At 50.3% G+C, this 24,545-nt stretch overlaps 3 annotated features.

Annotated features, from left to right (window-relative positions):
* Positions 10,732–15,674: an enhancer, noted in NCBI's record as "VISTA enhancer hs1974". NCBI's record gives its function as "enhancer in: heart[4/5]" and the evidence as "EXISTENCE:transgenic organism evidence [ECO:0001131][PMID:17130149]".
* Positions 11,895–12,395: an enhancer, noted in NCBI's record as "H3K4me1 hESC enhancer chr10:79975669-79976169 (GRCh37/hg19 assembly coordinates)". NCBI's record gives its function as "activates a minimal SCP1, AML or CMV promoter by ChIP-STARR-seq in naive H9 embryonic stem cells {active_cell/tissue: H9 hESC(naive)}" and the evidence as "EXISTENCE:reporter gene assay evidence [ECO:0000049][PMID:30033119]".
* Positions 15,714–16,270: an enhancer, noted in NCBI's record as "H3K4me1 hESC enhancer chr10:79971794-79972350 (GRCh37/hg19 assembly coordinates)". NCBI's record gives its function as "activates a minimal SCP1, AML or CMV promoter by ChIP-STARR-seq in primed H9 embryonic stem cells {active_cell/tissue: H9 hESC(primed)}" and the evidence as "EXISTENCE:reporter gene assay evidence [ECO:0000049][PMID:30033119]".

The raw sequence follows: 24,545 nt of genomic DNA, 5'->3' as shown, positions 1-24,545 counted from the left end.
GGAGCAGGCATGCTGAGGAGTGACCCACTCTGCCTTCACAAAGCCTCAGCCATGACAACCTGTCTCAGGATTCTGATCCAACCCAACAGGTTCCTTCCAGCTATCATGCCGCTGCTCGGGCAGGAATAGCTTCTCTCTGATGGAACACACATGAGGAGATATGAGATCCCAGGTATGCTGTAAAGAAGAACCTCATCCTGCCAGCCCCACCAGCTAAAGGGGAGATGTCAGGTCCTCTGAGCCAGCCCCGCAGCCCACCCCTTCACAGACACACTGATGGCACTCACCTCAGGGAGTCACCATTTCTACCATTTATTGAGCACCTACTCTGTGCCAGACACTAAGCAGAGGGCTGCAGACTCAGCACTCCAATCAACTCATCTCAACCACAACTCTTTGAGGCAGGGACTATTATTGTCCCCATTTTGCAGCTATGAAAGCAGAGGTCTCCAAGCTTACCAAGAATGTGACTCTACTGACTCCAGAAGTCTGTGCTCCACCGTGCCATTCCCAGCCATGGGCATGGCCTGAGGTCAGCTAAGAAGAAGGGAGCACAGTCACTGTTCTCAAAGACCTTATGAATTTGGGGTGTATATCTTTCAAAAAGAGAGACTATCTCAGATGTCACACAGGTATCTTGTATCTTATAGCTTAAAACACCACTTAAAAAGCAAAGCACAAAGCAGTGTGTTCACTATGCTACCACTGGTGCAAAAGGAAGGAAACGAACATATGTGTTTGCTTTAAAGTAAACACATTCAAAAGAAACTCTTCAGGATGTAGGAAATTGATAGCAGTGTCTAGCTAAGAGGGAGGGAATGGACAGATGGGGCAGAAGGAGCATTTCACTCGACAATCCTCTCATTTTATTTTTATTTTCAAATATGTAAATATATCCACTATTAAAAAAAATCAGAGTTTTTAATTAAAAAATTAAATGTCCGCTCATGAATTTTACAGAAAAGGAGCCTGAAGCTCAGAAGGAATGGCTTGGGGCTGCGACTCACAGCTGGCCAGCCAGAGACTCAGGACAGGCCCTACCCATCCATCCCCTCATTCCACAAGCATTGGCTTTCCACCCCAGTGTCCACTGGGTCTCACACATAGAAGGTCTCAGTTCCATTACCACCACCCTCATCACCTCCATTGTCAACACCTCAGCTATTTCCACCATGTCGATACAATCATGGCCCAACCTTTGTTAACGCCATCACCAACATCACCTTCACCACTACCTCTACCACCACCCTAACATTTCTAGCACCACCCTGCCCATCATGACCTCCAATTCCACCACCACTGCCATCATAACTGTCACCATCATCACCTGCATCACCTCCAGCATGCCAGTACGACCTTGGCCAAGAGTTTGTCATTGATGTGCCTAAGAGCGATAAGACAGAGGTGGACATTGAGCTGCAAAACAACAAGATGAGGAATGGAGAAAAATGTTCACAAAAGTTTTGAGCCAGTGCTTCTCTACCAACATACATATTCTAGATCCTGGCTTGGGATGGGGTGTCATGAAGATGAATGAGACAAGCCTCCCCGCTCGTTAAGGGAAGTCAATATAAAACAGTACGTGTAAAAGAAGGGAGAAGTAACGTTGGGTCTCTCCAGTGGGGAAGAAACTTCAGAAAAAAGAGCAAGCTTTCTTTCACTGCATTTGTTCAAGACCAGGTCTACACCACGTAAGCAATCTACTACATACGTGAGCTGTAGATTCTAAAGCAACACCGTCCACTGGAACTTTCTGCAGTGATGGAAATATCCCATGCCTGTACTGTCTGACACATGTGTGGCTACTGAGTACCTGAAATGCATCTAGTGCAACTAAAGAACTGAGTGTTTAAATTTTTTAAGTTTTTATTCATTTAAATTTAAATAGCCACATGTGTCTCATGGCTACTGCATCAGACAGGGCAGCCTTAAAGTTTCTAGAAGAATAAGAGTGAGAAATGCTGCCAACACGCAGTAGTCACTTGGCTGTCACCAGAGGAAGAGATTTCTGAGGATTGAGGCTAGTCAAAGATAGAATGTTAGCACTGAGGAACTTCTAGACATCAAGCCAAGATTGGGGTCAAGCTGACCTCACCCACCCAGGACAATCATGGACCATCTGATTTCCCCAGAAGCCCAGGACAGCGGTTACCCCTGAAATCACCACTGAACCAAGTTTGGGGTGGCCTGAATTGTCTTTGTTTGGGGCTGTTTGTTTTGAGTGGTGTCATTATTTTATTTTTAAATTACCTATAATGCGCCCTTTAAAAATTCCCTAATTACAGATAGGATAAATACATAATTGCAGACTTTTAAAAAGCACATATTATTTACTCAATACTCCGTAATTACGGTCTTTTCCATGAAATGTATTATTTCCTGGATGGTCCATAATCGCTCCTTTGCAGCCGGCTGGGGAAGGCCGAATTGTTCCTCAGATTCAGTTCATGGGTCACTGGTCCCATCCCATCAGGCAGTTTATGAGCCACTACCACTGGCTGTCAGAGCCCAGCAGGCCCTCGCCGCAGGAAACACTGGGCTTGGTTACTGTACAGGCAGCTCGCTACCACCATGAGCACTGGTCTGGCTGAAGTCGAGTGGGGTTTGGGGTTTGAGGTTGGGGCTCTCCTGTTTCTTTCACAGTTCTTCCAACGACAAGAGGAGTGGCTTGTTGGTCATGAGCTCAGGCTCAAGTTTGGCTGGCCTGGTGTGTATCCCTGCGCCATCTCTTGCTAACCCTGCAATCTTGGACAAGGGCCTTAGTTTGGGTTATACCAGAAGCAGCCCCTGAGCCCAGGATTTGGGTGAAGTGATCCCGGGAAGTCCAGATGAGAACAAATGAAAATCAGACAAGGAAGACAGAAAAGCCACACTAATATGCACTTGTGAGCAGGTTACTGCCACACACACCTCAAGAGACTGCCGAACACAGCTAGGAATTGTCCCCTAATGGTGAGGAAGCTGGGGTGTTTATCCATCAACTCCCCTCCCCCACTTCCTGAGGGTTGTCACTCTGGGCATTAACTTCCCGGCACGCCCAGGCCACCTTGCACACAAGCAAGTCAGCCACTGTCCACCATGGCTACAGGTGACCTCCAAGAAGGACCAAAGGGTTGTGGGTGGGGCACCAATAGTATATGCCAAAGCACATCACTTACTCTCCCCCTGCCTCAGCTCTCTCGTCTTCAAATGAATATAAAAATAATATCTGCCTCCTAGATCATAGTGGGAGAAAGTCAGTTTGAATAAATAGAAGTTGTTATTTATGTGCACCACCACAGATAAGGACTTAGTTCAGCTCCTGGACGCTCTTACCCAGGCCTCCATCTGAGCCACCTTTCGCAGACTAGATGGCAGCCAGCACCAGACCAGAGAGGCTTTCAGGACTAGCCAAAAACTTGTATCAGGCCCTGCAGAGCAGAGCCTGGTATGATAGCAGATTCTTTGCTATGTGGCTGTGTCCCCACACCCCGTTACCCTGAGTCAGACATTACTAGGTGATTCACCATCCCACCCCCTCTTCCTCACTGCGGACCTCCAAGTTAGTCCAAGTACGAGTGGTTTCAGGAGGATGAAGCTTGGCCAGACTCGGGCAATCACAGTAATTCCATTCTCTTCTCCCCCAAGTAGTTAACCTAGGCATTTGACCCCTTTCCAGCCAATGAGGTGTCAAGAACACCACTGGAGAAAGTTTTTCTCTCCCCAAAAAGAAGAGATATTCTGTCTTCTGGCTCTGGACAGTGATGCTTGGTTCAGCTGCAATTTTCTTGAATGAGGAAGGCATAAAACTGAGGACAAAATCAACACATTGACAGTGGCAAAGTAGACAATGGAAAAAAAATCGATACCTTGTTTATATCACTGAACCCCAAAATTGATGAGCCTTGGAACAATCCCAACTCTGGTATAAATAGACAGCCAACACTAACATAGCATTTCCCCTGCGCCAGGCACTGTTCTAAGCATTTTGCATTTGGCAACCCATTTAATCCTCACCAGAGCCAAGTGAGCAAGGTACTATTGCTAGTCCCTTTTATAGATGTGAAAACTGAGGCCCAGAGAGGTTAATTAACTGGCCCAAGGTGATACAGCTAGCAATGATTTCACCTCAGGCAGTCTGGCTTTGAGCTCTAAGCTCTGCCTTAATCACTAAACTCTACTATCACTCTACTGTTCTTGTAACGTGCAAAATTAAACCTCCTTTTTATTTAAGTCATTCCAACTCGGTTTTTCCATTACATGCAGCTGGAAGTATCTTAATTGATACACCTTATTGAGATGAGCCACAAAACAGAATTTAAAATTAAAGGGGTCTGTAAAAGTCTCAAGCGTGCATCAAGAAAGTGGCATCCAGGAGCCCATGTCTCACTCCACTGGCAGAACCTTCCCCTTGTGATGTTAACATGCATGACCAGCCAGCTGTACTATGAGCCAAAACCTGTGCTCAGCATTTATGTAGACCATCTCATTTAATCCTCCAGCCAACCCTGCAAGGCAGGCACTGCCTCCCTAGCTTACAAATTAGGAGGTCATAATATTACTATCTAGTGTGTATTGAACTTTACTCTGTGCCAGCCTCCAGGCTAAGCACTTTCACGCCTTTCTCACCTAAACTTCACAACAATCCAATAAGGGCACCATCATCTTACAGATGAAGAAATCAAGGTTCAGAGAAGCTAAGTATCATGAGCAAGGTCACGAGATGATAGGGAGGGCAACTCGTTCCATCCTGCACACATGGACGTGTCCACACACAGCACATTGGCCCAGCCTTGTGCTATGGAGGAAGCAGAGACAGATGAGCCAAACCCACTCCATCTCCTTGCCCCAGCCATGAAGGGTAACACTCACCGTAAGCTGAAGCTGGCTGCCTCCTGCCTCAGCCCAGGGGTAGATGACCAGCTACCTGCCCACTCTTCCCCTGCAAGATGGCATTCCTGGAGCCCTGCCCATAAGCCTCCAATGACCAGCCATGAGTTAGGTGACTCCCACGACCAGACGTGCCTATTTCCTTGTGGTGCTGATGGCGGCCAGGCAGCACTGATAATGATCTCTCCTCTGCAGGGAGGTGAGCCGTGAACACCTCGCCAAATATCTTCCAGAAGTCCCCGGAGGGGTGCTGGGCAAGGAGGTTCTGCCTTCTCTCTGCATAAGTAAGAACAGGGCCAGGGGTCTCTAAGACCCCTCCCAGAGCTAACTGTCTGTGGGTGTGTGAACCCTGCACAGGGACAATCCAGCTCCAAGTCCCATTTCCAAATAAGCCCAGCCACTGAAGGCCCTCCTGACAATGAGGGGTGTGGGCTCTGGTGTAAGAGGCTGAGGTGCTGCCAGAGGGGCCAGCGTGGGGCATCAGGGGACCTGGGTTCATGCACCACAGCCACTCGCTCACTCACTGTGACCTTGAACCCCTATTAGGGCCTCCAAACACCTCAGTGTTGGACCAAATGGGTGTCGACGTTTAGTATAATATGAGATTGGTCTCCACAAACCCCCACGTAGAAGTACAGTGAACATAGCAGAACCCAAGCTGAAGCTGGGGGTAGGGGCAGCAGAGCCTCAGGGTCCATCCTCAGTCCCTCCACTCCCCTGAAACCCCTCATGTTCCTGGGGAGACTTTGGAGGAATACATCACCTCTGCCCTGTGTGCATGGCACGGCAGAGTGCCAGGGAGTTGACACACCCCAGGAACAGCCTTTACCAAGCAAGAGACAGGAACTGGTAAGTGCCTGCCTGGGCTCCCTCACCCCACAGTGGGGGCGATGGCGAGGTGTGTCCCATGCATCCTCTCAGGGACTCATGGCGGGGCTAAGCCTCAGTTGCCCACTAGCCCCTGGCAGCTATGGTGTGGCGGGTGACCTGGCTCCACAGGTCAGAGGCAGCTGCCTGGCAATTTTGAATCTGAGTTGAGGACATGCAGGTAAAAGAGGTTCCATTCTTGTGATGGCTGCAGCAGCTGCACAAACATCCTGTTTCCAAAGGCCACATGGCCTCAAGGCTGCAAAACTGTCCAGTGCCCCGGCCTGGCAGTGTCCTCCCAGAAAGCCTTGTGGCAAAATTGCAGCTGTGATCCTGCCTGCCATCCGGGCCCCCTGCCTCCTGCCTGAACCTGGTTCTTCGGGCTCCCAGCAATTCAGCGAGTACACGCTAACCTTTCACTAAACCGTCTACTTACATCAGCCACACTCCTTTTCTGTGGCTTAGAACTAAAACCCCAGCTGGTGGACACCCAGGGAACAATGCAAGAATGACCACAAGGTCCCCAGGTCTCTTTCCGGATCCAAGAATCCTGGATTCAAATCACAGTAAGAGGACAACTCTGGAGAGAGGCAAAGGGAGCTGCTGGGGTAAACTCAACCACGATCACAGGCTGACTCCGCTAAAAGGAAGCCCAGCCCTGCCTTCAGGGAACGCCCAGTCCAGGAGGGAGACAGGCATGAAGGCATATCATCCCACAACCCCAGGTGATGGCACAAAGCCAGAGGGAAGCTCGAAGCAGAGGAGAGGGCTGGGGTCAGGGATCAGGGAGGGCTGGCCAGAGAGATGATATCTGAGTGTGGCGAAGTGAAAAAGAAAAGAATAAAGGTGACGGAAACAGAGTGGGCCCAACGCTTCGCAGCCATGAGCAGACTTGCCCAGAGTCCATCGCAGGATAAACCACGAGCCAGTGCCTGCTCTGATGATAAACCTGGGGACAAACAGGGGTGCTCAGGAGGGACCACTGCTCTCTGGGAAGGTCCCCAAGTTTGTCTCTAGCTTATGGGAATTAAAAACATGTCCATTCTTGTGGGCAGGGCTGTGTAAATCTGCATACACACACGCAAACACACACACACACACACACACATGCCCCAAGGAAGGGCACAAAGGGAAAATGGCCATTTGCTGCAGACACGTCTTTGTAATGAGAATTGGCGGTTAGGACAGCACTCATCCCTGTCTTCGAGGTAGGAACTTCAGGGAAGATAAGATGCTCAGCCCAGGCCCAAGGCCACCTCTCTTAGGAACAAGGTTCCTTTCCCTTGTTACTGCTGCTGTCAACAGCAAAGACAGTGTGGGAGGACAGGGGAGTGCCAGCTTGTGAGGTGAGCCACTGGCCTTCCAGCCTCAGCTTTCCCAAACTGTTTGGATGACCTCAAGAGAGTCTCCTTCCCTATCTGGTCCTCAGTTTCCCCCATGTGTACAATGTGGAGGTTAGCCTAGATCTGCAATGGCAAAGAACTGTCATTTTGTATGCCAACTGTAATCAATTGCTAGCGACTGCCTGGAGCACTCAGATGAGAATAATTCTGAGCTTAGCAGAGACACAATTGATTAGTGATGTCTGCCATAGGCACAAGTAGGAGTGGAGGTGGCATGTGTGCTACTCCATCCTTTATCTTCTGAGTCTTGACACCATGTGGGTCTCTGACCTGACTCCTTGGGTTTACACTGGACTCCAACCTGCGGTGTGCTGGAGGCAGCTCACACCCACTCCTGAGAGTCAAGTGTGCTCATCTCTTCCCAACTCTGCATTTGGTGATGTCACATTGGTATTGTGGAATCGGTCACGATGGGGACGTTTACAGGGAACCGTTAAACATTTTTGAGCACACTAGCTCTATCCCTCCCACAGCAGGCCAGGGCGGGGGGAGAGGGGAATCCAGGCAGCCCCCAACAGTCCTGAGCTCTATGGGAATCCGTGTCCCCTGGAGAGTGGCCAGTGCCAGCAGATGCTGGAATCCAGACTGTTCTATCACAGACTCACAACCCCTGCAGCCCACTTTATTCACAATCCTCATCACTGCTCTTGCTGCACAGAGCCCCATTCAGACACTCTACCCCATCTACCCTGGCACCACTCATCCCTTCTTCCTCCAGGAAGCCTTCTGAGACTGCATTCACAATTATTCCTCCCCCACTGAGCTCCCATTTCACTCTGTCTTTGTTGGTGCTGGAAGGAAAACTGCCTCTTTAGAACAGGTTCTCGGTTGAAGACTTACATCTCCTCCTTCCCCAGCACCCAGTCAAGACCCCACATAGGCATGGTCCTTGAATAGACATCCAGGGAGAGGCCAGCTGCGTTATCCACCACCTGGGGCACAGTCCTGACATGCCCACGGTAATCATCCCAACCAGCTCCTCATTTCCCAGATGGGGAAATGGAGGCCCACAACAACATACAACTGCCTGAGCAGCTGAGCTGACTCTCGAACTGAGGTCTCCAGACTCCCATTGTGTCCACAGTTGGTTCCTTCCAGTGGGTTCTTGGTCTCGCTGACTTCAAGAATGAAGCCACAGACCTTTGCGATGAGTGTTACAGCTCTTAAAGGTAGCACAGACCCAAACAAAGAGCAGCAGAAAGATTCATTGTGAAGAGCAAAAGAACAAAGCTTCCGCAAGCTGCAAAGGGACTCTAGCAGGTTGCCGCTGATGGTGGGGGTGGTCAACTTTTATTCCCTTATTTGTCCCCGCCCACATCCTGCTGATTGGTCCATTTTACAGAGTGCTGATTGGTCCACCTTACAGAGTGCTGATTGGCCCATTTTACAGAGTGCTGATTGGTGCATTTACAATCCTTTAGCTAGACACAGAGTGCTGATTGATGCATTTTTTACAGAGTGCTGATTGGTGCATTTACAATCTTTTAGCTAGACACAGAGTGCTGATTGGTGCGTTTACAATCCTCTAGCTAGACAGAAAAGTTCTCCAAGTCCCCACTCCACCCAGGAAGTCCAGCTGGCTTCACCTCTCACCATCACACTGCCTCGGGCACCCTCCCACCACACTGCCTTGGTGCCCTATCACAGAAGCCAGAGGCTATGGAAACAGAGACTGAAGCCCACAGGGGACAAGGGAGCTACCCAAGGTCACAGAGCAGCCTGGGAGCAGAGCCAGGCAGAAACCCAGGTCTCAGCAACCCTCTACGCCAGCATCCTTGCCTTTCCCTTCACACCACCCTGACCTGCCAAACCAGGCCTTGACACCCCAGGGCAGGGCTCTGGGGCACAGCCTCCACCTTTCTCTCCACCTCCAGGGTTAGACAGCACCAAACTACAGGGTCACCCAGCAACCAGGGGGCCACTCTCTCCAGCAGGCTGCAAAGCCCGGGCTGCATTTGGGGCCATCTCCTCCCACCTCTCTTTCCTCCGGCTGCTGCTTAACATGCACACGGGAACCTCTAAGCTGAGCGTATAGATTTCTCTTTGTCTTTGGTGGTAATTATTAGCTGTCTCGGCGGGTGAATGCAGGCAGAAACAAAGGCAGCAAGGGTTGTAAAACCTTTTATCTCGATCAGGCCGCATTATTTGATAAGGTGCTAAGCTAATAGCAACGCATGTCAAATTGTGTTTAGACAGATCGAGGGGCTGGGAATGGAGGGTATATTTGTCTCCGGAAACCTGCACCTGGAAGGATAAAAAGAAAGGCGCACTGATATTCGCAGCCCCGGGCTGAATGCAGACAGCCAAGCCTCTGGGACTCCTGGCTGAAAGACTCCTGGAAAGGGGGCAAAATGAGAGGCTGAGAAGGGAGAGAGTGGGCCGGTACTGTGCTTATTCCCATTCAAGCCCACCTCGGGGCCCTTGCCTGGAGACCCACAGGTTCCCACCAAGGATAGCAGCAAAGGTAGATTCAAATCTGTGTTCCCTGGCTTTCTTACCTCAAGCATTTATTGAACCCCAAACGTGTAAATCTGTCATGTGCTTAACATTGACTGTTACCACCCACAGGATGTGTCATGACCCATATAGAATTAGTACCAAATCACGTGCAGCCTCAAGATGAGGCCCACAAGGCAGGAAAAGTCAAGGGAAGCTTCTTGGAGGAGGTAAGATTTCAATGGAGCCTTGTAGAATGGGAAGAGTTTAGAACAGGAACCTGGGAAGAAGCACCCATCAGCACTAAGCTCTAAGAGCCTCCCTATGAACTCCAGGTGGATACTCGCCTGTCTCCCTGCATCCTGCCATGTATTCCCTGTATTCTGCCTTTCCCAGTCCCTGTGAGGGAGCCTCATTCCAGAGCACATCCAAGGTTGGCCCCTCTGTACCTTCTGTGGAACGCAAGGCAAGATTAGAACAAGATGAGAAGGGGAGAATGCAGATGCCACAAAGTTATCAAAGCCCTACAACGATGCATGTCTTTTGAACCAGTGGCTTTATGTCTAGAATAGTTTCTAAAGCAATAATTTAAAATGTACACAGCCATTGAGCTAGAAGGATGTCCACCACAAGATTGTTTATAATAGTGAAAAAAAAGGAAACAACTTCAATGTCCAGCAATGCAGGATCTGTTGAGAGAAATATTTAGGACATTCACATGGAGCCATTAAAAAGTAACCACTGATCAGTTTTAGTTGAGCTTCTTTCCGGAGCAAACCCAGGACTCTAATGCAAGAAGATTCAAATTTGGAGAGATGAGTGGGGAGGAGTGGGGAAGTGAGACAAGGAAGGAGGGCAGCCAATAATGGGCATGTTTTCAAGCCAGCTACCACAGTGGAACTGGAGCCTGATCCCTCTGGGGAAGCACAGGGATCAATGTAAAACACTTGCCTCAAAGTTATCTCACCCGAGAGGTGAGGGAGCTGGGGCTTCTGTACACCAATCCCTTCAATCATTGGTTGAGGGCTGCTGGGGCTGGAACACAGACAACACCGGGTCCCCTGCATGCTCAGCCTGCCACAGGGCAGCCCCACAGGTCCCTGCAGCAAGAGAAACCAGACACAGGCACAAAGCACAGGTGCCAGCAGGTGGAATTGGGACCAGAAGAGCACTGAGTGGCAGGGCAAAGGGGATGTGGGTCGGGCACTGCCGCTGTCTGCTGCAATCTGTTTCCTACACCGCAGCCCTCCACAGCCAGGCTAAATGAAGACAAACTTGTTTCTTTACTTCAGGACACCTCTTGACATACTAATGGGCACTGGTGAATTTCCAAGAGCATTTCAGTGAATCTATTCGACTGTACATTGAATGTATTCAACCGTACACCTGCCCTGATTTTTTATCTCCCTAGGTGGACCTATCAGGGTCTCCCAGCACACAGCGCTGTCCTGAGCACAGTTTGGGAAATGCTGTCAGAGCTGCCTTCATATTAGCACAGAAAAGTGGAGAAGGCAGATTCTTACGGCAGTTGATCCAAGGTGCTCCCATTTTCTTAATGCGCATAAAACGAGAGTAACTAGCCATTTCTCATCTCGGCTTTGACCCTTGAGAAGCTTTCTCACCCAAGGAGGCACATATGAGAGCACTGAAAGGCAGTGTTGCAATCACACACGTGCGCGCGCGCACACACACACACACACACACACACACACACACAGTGGATGCAATCAAAAAGTCTATCACAAGGGAATGCCTAAATAAACTCTGATGTATGCATGCAAGGGAATTCTACCCAGCCGTTAGAGCAAATGAGTTAGAGCTCTAAACACTGACACTGAGAGGACCCCAAGACTAATAGGTGACAAAATCAAAGTGTAGAACAACACATGCAATATGCTACCATTTCTGTTGGGAAAAAAGCCCATCCAAACACACTAAAAATAAAACCACATATCTCTATATGATATGAATGTGTGTGTACACTTAAAAAAAGATCAGGAACGATATACATCAAATTAGAACTGTGATTACCTCTGCAGAAAAGGGAAGCTCGGTTGGGGAGGGAGAGAGGCGACTTTAGCTTGATCTGTATTGTTTGAATTTTTCTAACAAAAAATGTGTTCCTATATTACAGGTGTAATTAAAAATAAATGAAAATGTTTTACAGAAGAAAAAGGAAAAGCCTGGTGGTATATTCAGCAACATACCAAAATATTTACAGGGTTTATCTCTGAGTGCTGGGATTATGGGTGTTTTTAATTTTCTTGTTTGCTTATCTGTATTTTTAAATTTTCTACAAAGAGCATGCATTGTTTTTGTAATAAGAAGGGAAAAAACATAAAGTAATTTATAATTAAATATCCACTACACAACCTCCTTGTCTCCTGAGCTGGTTTGGACTTCGACTCTAGGCTTCCTAGACATTGCATTCCCAGTGGGATGCCCCAAGGACAGAGGGGGCTGACCCTCCTGAGGGCCAGCTCTGTTATTCCCTCTCTGTGTGACCTCAGGTCCTTAGATGCCTTGTCTGGGCCTGGCTTTCCTCCCCTACCCAACAACAATCCTAAGACCTGCCCTGTCTTCTCCACATGATGTCTGGGACACCCAGGAGACGACCACTGGGCTTTTTATGTAGCGCCCCATGCTTGTATGCAGGTCACAATTCTGATGGCCAGCAGAAGCAAGGGGAGCCTGACCAGAGCCATCGCCACCTGCCAAGTGCAAGGACCCCAGGCCCTGTCCAGGAGGCTGTGGGTCAGCTCCGGGAGCCAGCTGGAATTCAAAGTAGTCGGGCTGCTTGGAGAAACGTGCAAGATGCAAATCAGACACGTGAGTGGCGCCCGGCTGGAAGAACTGTGTCTCCCTCCAAGCGGGGCTCTGAGTGTCAGATTTTCCACTCTGTTTCTCTGTAGCATGTTCTGCACATCCCAGTGCTAAAAATAACTGTGGCGCGTGAGTGGGGGAGCAGCCCCAGAGAGGCTCCAAGAGCCACTGGGGCGGTTTGGCACGCCAACCTCCTTCCTCTGGGCAGTACATGCCCCAGCTGCAGAGGTTGGGGTCTGTTCCCCCAACACAAACCCCTCTCCCCTTTCCTCCCACCTCCTTCCCTGTGTCGAAATTCTTCCTCCCTTTGTGACCCCAGGGACCCAGAGAGCTGGCAGCTCTGGAAATTACAGGGATAGAAAAGCCCAAAAGAGGTCATCTTATCCACCTCTTGGGAGAACACAGTCACCCCTAAATCCTTAAGGACAACAGAGAAAGTCCTCTTAGTCTAAAACCAATCACTGAAATCCAATCTGGCAAATGGTCCACAGTCTCTGCTACTTGGAAAGTTATTCCTTGAGTCTAACTGGGACCTCTGCTGCTACAGCCAAAGCCCAGCTCCTGTTGTTCTCCCACTAGGGAGAGGAGAAAGAGAATCGCTAATCTCAAATTCAGATCAAACTGAACATAGAAGACATGTGTGGACCAGTGGCCTCTACTGTCCTGAGACCCTGGGACTCCCATACCACAGCAAGAAGGAGTTATGTGTTCCTCCCTACTGAGGGTGAAACTCCAGCTGAGCCAGCCTGTTGCCACATATCTATTCAACTTTGCTGGGCACCGTCTGCCCAGCATAAGACGCATTGCCAGTGCTTCTGCACCAGGCCTGGGGAGGAAGTCAGGAGACGCAGAAACCCAAGATGACACTTGCACCCTTAAAGAGCTTAGGGTTGAGTTTGGGACTCAGGTTCATGCCTGGAAAGAAAATTTACTTTGCACCCAACCAATGGCTGAGTGAGATGCAGCAGTCAGTGCACCGCCAAGGGGTGAGAGGTTGGGGGTGTCCCTGGAGAAACAGAGCTCTGAGATACATGACGGGAGTTGAGAGGTCTGAGCAAAAACAGGGAGGGTGAGACCATGGATTTTGTGGACACCAGGGACTACTGAGGGGAGGGCAAGGGCTCTGGATGTCCAAGAGAGGCACGGTGGAAAACAAGGTTGAGATCTGATGGTGAAGCCCTTTGGACGCCAAGAGGAGAGATTTGAACTTCATTCCTCAGGCCACATTTCTTAGATAATATTCCAAAATGGGGTATTAAATAATGATATCATGAAACAAAAGAAGGTGCATGGGGGTGTGGCATAATTAAATTTGGCAAACTGAGAAGGAAGGGACAAAGGAAGCCACGTTTCCCAAACTATTTGACCATGAAGCCCTTTCATCACAGAGATCCTCGTGGGACTGCCATTCTGGTTAACACACTCTAGGAAAAGGGTTTTGAAAAAGCCAGGAACATCATGGCATTATCGCTTTAGGACGTTGGTCTAAAGGGCTGCTGGAGGTCGTGGCAGCTGCAGTGCAGGGCAAGGTGAGACGGGGAGGAGAGGTGCAGGCAGTGGGCAGACCTGGAGGTGGAACAATGGCAGGCCCAGGACAGGCAGAGGGACCTGGAAGAGTCCGAAGAGCCACAGTGACGCTACATGGGACCATGTGCCTTTTCCAAGCCTCAGTTTCCCCTCCTGTGGAATGGGATGGCCTCTTTTCACAAGACAGTTGGGAGGACCCTTGAGTCTGTGTGAGTGGAAAAGTCTGGAAAGCTGGAAAGAGTCCGGAGCTCTTCTATCAACATTCAGAGGAATGGAGGCTGGCGATGGAGTGGTCGGATTAGGACAGAAAGACCAACGATGGATTCAGGAGAGAGCAAGCAGCATGAGGCTGGAAGCCCCCAGTACCTCTATTTCCCTTCTGCTGCCTCATATTTGCATTGTTTCTTCCTCTCCAGCCCCTCTGACCCTTCCTCCAACAATGCAGAGCCTCAGAGAAAACAGTGTGCAATTGGAGGGAGACTGCTTGTCTTCCAGGCCGGCTCCAGCAATGCCATGCTGTACATCTCTGAGCCAGTCCCTCGACTTCTCTGAGACTCAGTTTCCTCATCTGTGAAAGGAAGAGAAGGGCGATGATAGTAACAACGCATTTGAGGTCTCTCCAGGTGCTGGGCTGAGTTCTTGCTTTATGACAACTCAATGAAACAGGAACTATTACCACTCCTGTTCAACACGTGGAAACTGAGGTGCTGAGAAGTGAAGGGAGTTGCCCAGGGTGACACAGGGGGTGATGAAGCCAGGACAGGCCCACTGCAGATGGCTGTTGGGAGGGCTGGATGAAATGGTGGAGAAGAAACATTCTTAAGACTGGCATTTGCTTGTCATCTTATAATGCCATTAAGATGGTGTAGCAGATTGCACTTTCCAAAGATGCCCACCACACCATCACCCATCCCACAGGCTTTTTGGCAATATGACCTTCCCCTCCTCTATAAAGAAGTGGGTTCTATTTCTCTGCCCTCTTGAATTTGGGTGGGTCATGATGATTTTTTCCAAAAGAATAGGAGGAAGAGACCTTGTGCCAGTCCAAGCCTTAGCCCTTAACTAGCCTGACAGCCTCCACTGGCAGTGTCCTGGGAGCTAGCTGCTACATAAAAAGAATCACTACCCTGAGCCCACACTGCTGGGAGAGGCCCAAGCCACGTGGAGAGGCCCTGGAGGATGAGATGCTGCAAGAAGAGAGGCAAAGACCCCAAGAAGCCAGCCTTAGCCACCACATGAGAGACCCAGGTGAGTCCCAGACAACCCAGAGAGCAGAGCAAAAGAAGAAGACATTGCTCGAAGCCCCTCTCTTCTGGTATGGTTGTTACACAGCAGTAGAGAACCAGTCAGATGCGGCCCTCTTTCCACTTTCAGCTCTAAGGCAGAAGGTCGCCACAAAGAGATGAGGAAGAGGAAAGAAGAGGGGTGGAGGGGTGGAGTCAGGACTGCAAGGAGCTGAGGCAGGGAGCTGCCCTCTGCCTCTGCCTCTGCCTCTGGGCCCCAGCCTCGGAATCAGCCCAGCTTACAGCCCTCAGACAGTGGCCAGCCCATGACTTACGATGGGGCGCAGGTCAGGCTACCGGCCCCTCTGGGCTGCCATCTCCTCTCCAGTTACGTGGGGAGCTGTGGGCTGCCCTCCCCTCTCCTGTTATGTGGGGAGCTGTGGGCTGCCCTCCCCTCTCCTGTTATGTGGGGAGCTGTGGCCTGCCCTCCCCTCTCCTGTTATGTTGGGAGCTGGATGGAGTCGACGACCCCTGAGGGCCACTGCAGCTCTTGCATGCTGGATCTCCACTGCTGGGGGGCGGGGCAGGGGGGCGGTCATTCTGGCTGTGGTTCTATCCAGCAGAGCCAGGAAACACTAGGGCTGGTCAGACCCCAGAGCCCTCAGGACATCCCCACCCCTGGGTCTTCATACCCCTAGAGAGGCCAACACCACAGGCCTGAGGGCCAGCAAGTCCAGCCCAGCCAGACAGTGGAGCTGGAGAGCAGAAGGCCACACCTGCTGACTCTCACCCAGACACACTGTGGCCCTGAGCCTACTGGGCCCATGCCAGGACAGGCCCTTTACACAGAAGAGCCTATTTAATCCTCACAGTCATCCGGAGTGCCAGATAATGCTATTATCTCATTTCTCAGATGAAGAGTCTGAGGCTCAGAGACTTCAGCAAAATCACACCACTGCAGTGTGAAGCCAGAATTGAAACCTGGAGGCCTAATTCCATGACTCTCCCTCCCCTCCACTGTGCTTCCGCTGGTGGGTACATCCGCAGACACAAACACACCACCCTGCTCCCCACACAGCCCGACCTGCCCTGCTCGCTCACACACATACTTTCATGTGTGATGGTGCATACGTGTAGACACATCCCATGCTGGTACACACCAGTTCATACGGAAACCCACATTCACACAGGTTGTGTGTGTCGCACACAGACACTCCCATCCCTACACATGTAGACCCAGGCACCCAGGGCCCTGACATTTGCTCACACATACACCCCTACACTCCAGCCCCACAGGCTCAGGTGCAGACATCTGTGTGCATACATCCTCATCACACACGTACACACACAAACACTGCACCTTGTTTAATGATGCCCAGGAAATGAGAGTCATTATTTTTATTTTTTTAAAAAAAAGAGCCTCTCAAATGCCAATAGATTCCAGCATGTTTTTTCAGTGCTAAAAGGTTTTACAAGCAAAAGTCACCCAACAGTGCCACCTGCTGAAGGCTGGCTATTCTCTCCCGTCCTGCCTGTTCCATCCTTAGTAGGGTGAAACCTGTCCTCAGTTTCCCCCAAAGCGCTCAGGACTTGGGAGCTGGGTGGGGGAAGCTGGGGGAGAAAGTGGGTGCAGGTGGACAGAGGAGAGGTTATACCGAGGCAGGGGAACACATGGAGAAGGACTTCCAGAGCAGGCAAGGAGAGGAAGATGAAAGAGAGAGGCCTGCAGGGAGACAGAGAGGCCAGGCAGGGAGCTGAGAGAAAACCATGGGACTCAGAGAATAAGAGAGAGAGCACAGATAGAAAAGACTGGGAGGGAAAGTCTGGCATGCAGATGGGAGAGAGGGGAGGGAGGATGAAAGAGACCCGAGGAAGGACTAGAGGGGCAGCCAGAAATGGCGGAGAGCCCTCCCCAACGTCGGCCCCCTGGACCCACAAGGGGCACGAGCCTGGCAGCTGGCCCTCCCTCCCTCCAGGGGTGCCTCTACTGCAGGGGCCTGAGGCTGCAGTGTTTTCCTGGAGGTGGGGATGCCCCAATGCCCCCCTCAGCCCTCCAAAATGTTTGTCAAGCAGCCCCTGTCCCTAAGGGGCTCAGCTCCCCGCCACACACCCTGCCAGCAGGTCAGGATGAGGCAACTGTCAACAGGAAAGGGCTCTTACCTGAAGTATCTGGCTTCTTAGGTGCGAGTGACATCCAGAGAGAGGATTTGTTCAAGGCCACACAGAAAATTAGGAAGAGTCAGCCCTAGAAACTTCAGGGGCCCACGCACGGGCCTCCACCCCTGTGTCAACTGAGATGACAACCCTCTTCTTTCTTGATAGAATCATGGAGGAAAGAGAGATTTGAATCTGCATTCAGTGGTTCCAGACCACAGGAGAGTAGGGGATTAACCACAAGGCCCCAGGGGGAGACCGAGGCCACATTCTTGAGTCACCATGTCAGTACCCACCCCTCTGGAGTCAGGTGGATCAGAGCAGGACAATCATCAGTCCAAGAGAAAACCACTGACCTTCAACTCATGAGACATTGGCGCTGAAAGCTCCCACTGATCCCTTCCCGTGGGGACACTGAGCCTAGGGGAGTGGGGCATGCTGGGGTGAAGCAGAGGGCCTGAGCAGAGGGCATGAGAACCCCCCACCCTCCCAAGCCAGCTGCCCACACAAACCTCTTGACACTGATGGAGCCAACTCCTCAAAATCCTGAGGTCTGGGCTCCCTAGAAGGTGGCAACTTTGGGGGCTTCATCCTTCCCTTCTGAGGCCTAAATTCTGGTCCTCTTCTCTCTCCCAAGGGGACACTTCCTCCAACAGAAAGGACCCTGGCAGGGAAAGTCTTGGGGTAATTTTTCTTTTTTATGAAACCCCCTGATATCTCCCGTAGCTCAGCTGGAGTCACAAGGAGGCACCTCTCTCACCTTTGTAGAAACACACAGGGCTGCAGAAAGCTGGCTGACTACACAATGCAGAGCAGGTGCCGGCTTGCATCTCATTTACATATGTTTGCATATGCTTTCTTACTTCTCAAAATACCAGGAAACTATCCTCCATTCTCCATCCTATAGCTTCTTGGCATTTACAGTCTCTCCTGACTTACACGGGGTATCTCAATGCTGTGGACTTCCATTTGCTTAGCTAGAGAAGGACTTGGATTATAAATCCAACAGACTCTAAACTCCTTAAAAGCGGCATCCTGGTGCCAACCTGCCCCCTTCCCTCCTCCCAGGCCAGACCATTCACCCCCTCACTAAACATACCCTGTTCTTCTGTGCCAAAAAGAATTGGCTGATGCTGTTCCCCCTGCCTGAAAGACCCTTTCCTCTCCTTCTCTACCTGAAAAGCTCGTATTCAGACATCAAGACTCAGTTCAAATGGAACTTCTGCAAAACTACGGCATGTGAGTTTCTCTATTTTCTCCAGCACCTCCAAGCAGAACAATCACTTCTCAGTGGGCCCCAGCACTTTGGCTCATTAACAGCCAACAACTAAAGGGAAAATTTATTATACCACAAAATGATATTGAATAATACAGCACATGTATTTCCTCTTAGACTGTGAATTTGTTGAGGGCAGGAACCATGGGAGACGCAGCCATCACTGCATAGCCTATAGCTCCCAGCTCTGGGAAAATGACTGCGTAATCATTGTTTGATGAATGGATGAATGAATGATTCTCTCCATGGTCTTTATGCTCACAGATTCTGTGATTCTTCCTCCTTCATGGCTAGCTCAGACTAGGTTAAAGAGCAGTGATATTCTACTCAATATTTTACAACTTGAAATAACACAGACAGAGGGTCCATGTGGACCCTGTCTGCTTTCGAGCACCAGCGCTTCACAAACAAAACCCCAATCAGGTTCTGCAACCCCAGGTGGGGCCTTGGGCCCAGAGGTGAGGGAGGCAATGGGGCCAAGGCTGCTGTTTAGGAAACAAATAACCAAGTGGGGAAATTTACAGTCAGATAATTGGCAGCTCTGGTGCACAGTCAAATGCAGTAAATTAAGTGTTTTCCTGTAAATCAAGTTTATGATTTGCACTGGAGATGTAATTGTTAAAACTGTTCATTTTACCCGCAAATAGCAGTTGAAAGAAACCAATTTAGGAGTGACAGATTGGTTTTTGATTCTAACTGTAGTGCTAAAACAGTTAATTTTAATAACATCCTTTGGACAGGAGTCTGCTTGTTACTTAATATCATAGTCAACAATTTGAAAACTGCATGTTCAGCCACTGCTGCTTCCGCTAAAAATTAATCCCATTTTTCCCCTGAATGGAGGTATTTCTCAGCAGGAAGCAGTATGTCCATGCAGAAGGACTTTCCTCATTTACAGGGTTACAACCCTTCCACTCTGGGGAAGGGAGGCCACAAGAAGGTGAGGTATAGGCTAAAAGGAAACAGGTCCTGGAATGTTGAGGCCAATGGGGACCCTCCCTAATGTAGGAAACCCTTCAATGGCAAAGGGGATCACAATCTGAAGCTCCTGCCTGCACACTTCCATTGGCCAGGATGCCTCCTCTCCCCTGGGGTTCTACCCAGCTCTGAACCCTGAAACCATGTAGACATCAACTCTGAATAAACAGGACAGATTCTATCTTTCAGACTTGTCACCGTCCTCTTTCCCATCTCAGGACACACACCTGAGTCTGTCAACTTTCAAGTCTAGTCTATGGTGTCCAAGACTGGATCCATTACTTTTGTCACTCACCAGCTTGGATCCTAAGCACCCAGTGGGTTCACCGCTCCCAGGACCAGGATGCCACTGGATTATGGGAGCTCATAAACACTTTCAGCAGTTCACTGTGACCCCTGACAGGCTTCTAGTTCTGCTTCCAAATAGTCAGAGCTTCCCAAACATTAGCATGTATTAGAATTACCCGGACAACCTTCTCGTACAGATTGCTGGGCCCTACCTCCAGATTCTGATTTAGCAAGTCTGGGCAGAGCCAGGGAATTGGCATTTCTAGCAAGCTCTTAGGTGATGCTGATGCTGCCAGCCCACAAACCTGGCTTTGAGTAGCACTGATGTCGGAGATCTATGTTATTACCACCATCGCCACCCCACCATTGCAGAGGAGGAAGCTGGGGCCCAGGGGGGCAGGAAGTAGGACAAACAGCATCAGCAGCACAACCTCCTGGGCCTTCCTCCCATGCCCACTCTGGGAGACCCATCCTTTCCCAAGACATTGCTGGCAGGCTCCAGACTCCCAGCAAGGAAGATGTGTGAGTCAGCCCATTTACCCAGTTTTTGTTCAATTAATTTCAAGAGGTATTAAAAAGGAAAACTTTCGTAAAGAAAGGAAAAGCCTGTTCATTTTCATGGCCAGCACTTGGAGAAACAGTTCTTCTGGAGCCTAGGCAATCGTTTGTAGAGTCTATTATAAAGGGAAACCTAAATCACATTTATGGCTCATACTGTAAGGCAAATGTAGGTATTAAAATTGTTCCTTTTAAATGATAAACACCCGCTGAAATGGTGCAATAGAGCTGCATCAGAGACTGTTTTCACCCAAAAGAAACTGACTCAGGAAAGGCAGTAAATAGGGAATTTGACTGCAGTCCCCATAACTGCTGTTTACTGTAAGGAGTGGGGAGGAGGGGCCATGGAGAAAAATTAGCGCGTGGAGACCATGTTTGTTTTTAGCCACTTTAGCAACTTAACTTTGCATGGCTCTGTCTTCTCCCAGATCTGAGTGCAACAATTTCTCCCCGAAAGGGACATGGCTCCTTGTGGGGTGGGTATTTTTGGTTTCTTCTAGCCTGGTTTCAGATAGCTGGGCTTTCGTTTTACTGTGCATATCACAATCGTTGTGGTTTTGCTTTTGAGAGAGAAGTAATAGAAAAAATAGTTAATCACCCATTCATAATCTCTTAAACATTATTTTTAAGCTGATAGTAGCAAAACAAAATGCAATCTTTCTAACATCTTCAAGCAATTACTTGTCATTTTTCTGGTTTTCATAATAAAAGGAAATTAGTTTGGGGGAGGTGGAGTGGGGGACAAACTCCTGACTTTGAGTTTTGGGAAGATGAAGAACAGACTTAGAGTAAATCCTACCCGGGTTTTCCTGATGAAAATGAAAGCAGGAGCCAAGCAAGGGCAAGGGGTGCAATTGGGGGATGGGGCTTCTCCTGGCCCTACCCCTGACAATATGATATAATTCAGAGCTGCCTCTGCCTGAAGAAATTTGGGGAACATACAGACCTCTCTCATCTACCCCAACAAAGCTCAATAAATGAAGAGTCACAGCCAGAGCCAAATTTAGGTCCTCTGAGCATCCGCCATGAGGGATGAATTCACCGTGAGGGGTGAATCTACGGATGGATGGATGGATGGGTGGGTGGATGGATGGATGGATGGATGGGTGGATGGGTGGATGGGTGGATGGGTGGATGGGTGGGTGGGTGGGTGGATGTGTGGATGGATGAGTGGGTAGATGGATGGGTGGGTGGGCGTATGGGTGGATGGGTGGGTGGGTGGGCATATGGGTGGATAGGTGGGTGGATGGGTGGATGGATGGATGAAAATAACCACTGTTTCTTGAGATTTCTTCCATGCTGAGTAAGACGTCTCAAAGTCTAAGTGTGGAAGAACCAGTTTGTTTCATTTCCAATCAGTTTATTTTCCAATTTGTTGGAAATGCTTTCATGAAATAAGCTAAAATGTCACCATCTTGTCAAGCTGCTGTACAAGTATTCTCACTCTCCATTTCTATTATGACCAGTCTGCGGATGGCACCAGTCCTGGGCCCCACTTGGAACAGAACTGTTCTCAGGCTGGCTGCTAGGCACATCACACACATTCATTCACCGTCTTGCAGTCACTCTCTCAGATGGGTGCTTTTATACCCACTTTCTGGATGGGAAACCTGAGGCTCAGGGAGAGTTTGTGAGTTGCCCAAATTCCAAAGCTGATGGCTATAGAGCTAAACTTTAAATTCAGATCTCTTGGGCTCCAAACCTGTATAGTTTCCTGATGCTGGGCTCTAGAACCAGTCTCAAAGGACATGTAGTGGAGGGATGCCCTCCCAGTTGGAACCTAGGGAGGGTTCCTCCAAGGCCTCGGGTCAGGAGCTAGGAGGGGAAGGAGATGCTTGGTGGAGGTCAGGCACCCAAAAAAACAGAAGCAGGAGTGCAGTGGGAGGTTCAGAGAGCCATGGGCCAAGCTAGAGCTGGGCAGGGAGAGGAGATGGAGGGAGCCTGGCCCTGTGGCTACTCTCTGGGGAAGCAGGGTGAGAAGCAGCCCTTGGCCCAGAGCAGAATGATGAGAAAAGTCGGCCACCCAGCTCTCTGCACCTTGATCTTCACTCTAGAGCCTGGGCTTCCCATTTTGTAGAGCAGTGACTGGCATTTTTTAAAAAATGTAAATCTGCCAGAAGACACTCCCATCAGGGTATTTCTTCCTTTAAAAGAGTTTAAGGGACTAGAGGGGTCAGAGCACTCTCATTTCCTGCTGAGCTGCTTCTGTGAAGCTTTGAACACCAAGGATGGAGGGCACAGGGCCGGATGTTCAGAGAGGCCCAGAATGAAAGGGAGGATCAGACAGGGCCATGCCAGCTGCCGTAGCTGGGCCTGGCCGTGCTCTCTGGGGCCGTGCTCTCTGGGGCAAGGCTCACTTGGAGGTACAGAGGCCTCAAACTAGGCCCACATACAGAATCAGGCCTGGGAAATGAGAGTTAACATCTCACTGTGTGTCCTAGGGACCACCTGCCCAGCTCTGTCGTTCAAGATTCTATAGGGAGAGGCTCCACAGATCCTGAGAGCAGGGCCTTCCACTCCCACTCCCACGCCCACCCACATCCTGACACCCAGGAAATTGCCCTGGTCTGAAAGTCCAGAAATCACTCCCATTGTCTCATCTTAGAGTAGTTCCATAGGCAGTGAGGCTGCTCTGCCAGGCTCTATGCTGTGGTTGGGGTGAGGCCCCTCAGACCAGGCCTGGTACTAGAGTAGGTGAGACACAGGTGCCTTAAGAGAGGAAAGCCAGTGTTACGGGTGCCCAGAGGACTCTAACCCAGCTGGAGAGAGGGATGGTCAGGGACGGCTTCCTGGAGGAAGGTGGAGTGGGGGAAGCAGGCCTACCTGAAGCTAGCCTTTCCTAGGGGAAGGAGGAAGGGTTGCATTTTAGGTACACACACACACACACACACACACACACACACACACACTACCACCACCACCACAACCACCACAACTTTGAATGAAAGTCTCCTTTTTCTTCTCCTGGTGAAGAGAAAAAGAATAATTTTCATAACTTTTTGGAGCTGTAGACTAAGCCCTTTACTTCCCAAGTAGGGAAACTGAGGCTCAGAGAGATGAGGTGCTGCACCCACGGTCACACAGCAAGCAGGGCGTGGGGCCAGAAGTCTCCCCGCCACTGTGATTCAAGTTGTGCCTCCCCAGCCAGGCATTACCACGCAGAAGGGAGAGAAAGGCCTCTGGAGGAAGTGGAGGCACGGCTCCCCCTCCCCTGGCTGTTCCCAGGAGAGAAGGAGCTGGGGGAGCAGCCAGTCCTGCGTGGTCCCCAGGGAGCATATTTGCCAAGTGAGACAGCAGGGAGGCAGAGCAGAAGCAGCAGTCACAATATTAAGGTCCCTCACGGTAAACAGGAGCTCTGTTGTTCCAACATCCCCTGCCACTCACCTGCCCCTCCCAGAACCACCCCTGGTGGGGAGAAGGGCTCTACCTCCTCCCACTGGGCTCTCCTTCCCCCTCCAGAAATCCCAGCACATACATAGCTCCCTCCTCAAGAGCTGGCAGCTCTGAGGCCTCAGAGGTGGGAGGGAGATGGGTGGGCAGACTGGCTGGACTTTGGCATTGGGCCCAGCCGCTCTACCCAGGATACCCCACTTCCTTATCTGCTCTGTAGCCTTGGGAGAGTTGGTGACCACAGCAACAATAATAACAATAATGACAGCAAACACTCACACAGGCCTTAGGGGAAGCTGGGCACCCATCCTAAGCAATCTCAGATGTGGATTCACATGATCTCCACTACAACCCGGCCAAGCAAAGGCTGACAACATCCCCACTGCACAGAGGAGGACACTGAGGCTCAGAGAGGGGAAGATACTTGCCCCAGGTCACAGAGCTGGGGAGTGGCAGAGCTGGGAATTGAACCCAGGCATTTCTCCTCTCTTAGCCTTGGCTGTGAGGCTGGGGAGGTAAAGAGCCTGATCCAGACACTCTACACCCTCCGGGGTACTGAGGCAGGGAGAGACAGTCACAGCTGTGCCAGGAACAGAGAGAAGTGGAGGGCCCGGATGGTGGGGCAGCCTGCAGATGGGACCCTGCAGAGGAAGGGCCTGGGCTGTAGGGCACCCAGAGGAAAGAGCGTGAATCCAGAGGGATTCTGAGACACAGGCCAGGTCAGGGGGCAAACAGGGGGTCTCCGATTCAGAG

The sequence above is a fragment of the Homo sapiens genome, chromosome 10 (assembly GCF_000001405.40).
Source record: "Homo sapiens chromosome 10, GRCh38.p14 Primary Assembly".
Taxonomy (NCBI): Eukaryota; Metazoa; Chordata; class Mammalia; order Primates; family Hominidae; genus Homo; species Homo sapiens.
The sequence above is the reverse complement of the archived record's forward strand: the minus strand, read 5'-3'. Positions and strand labels throughout refer to the sequence as shown.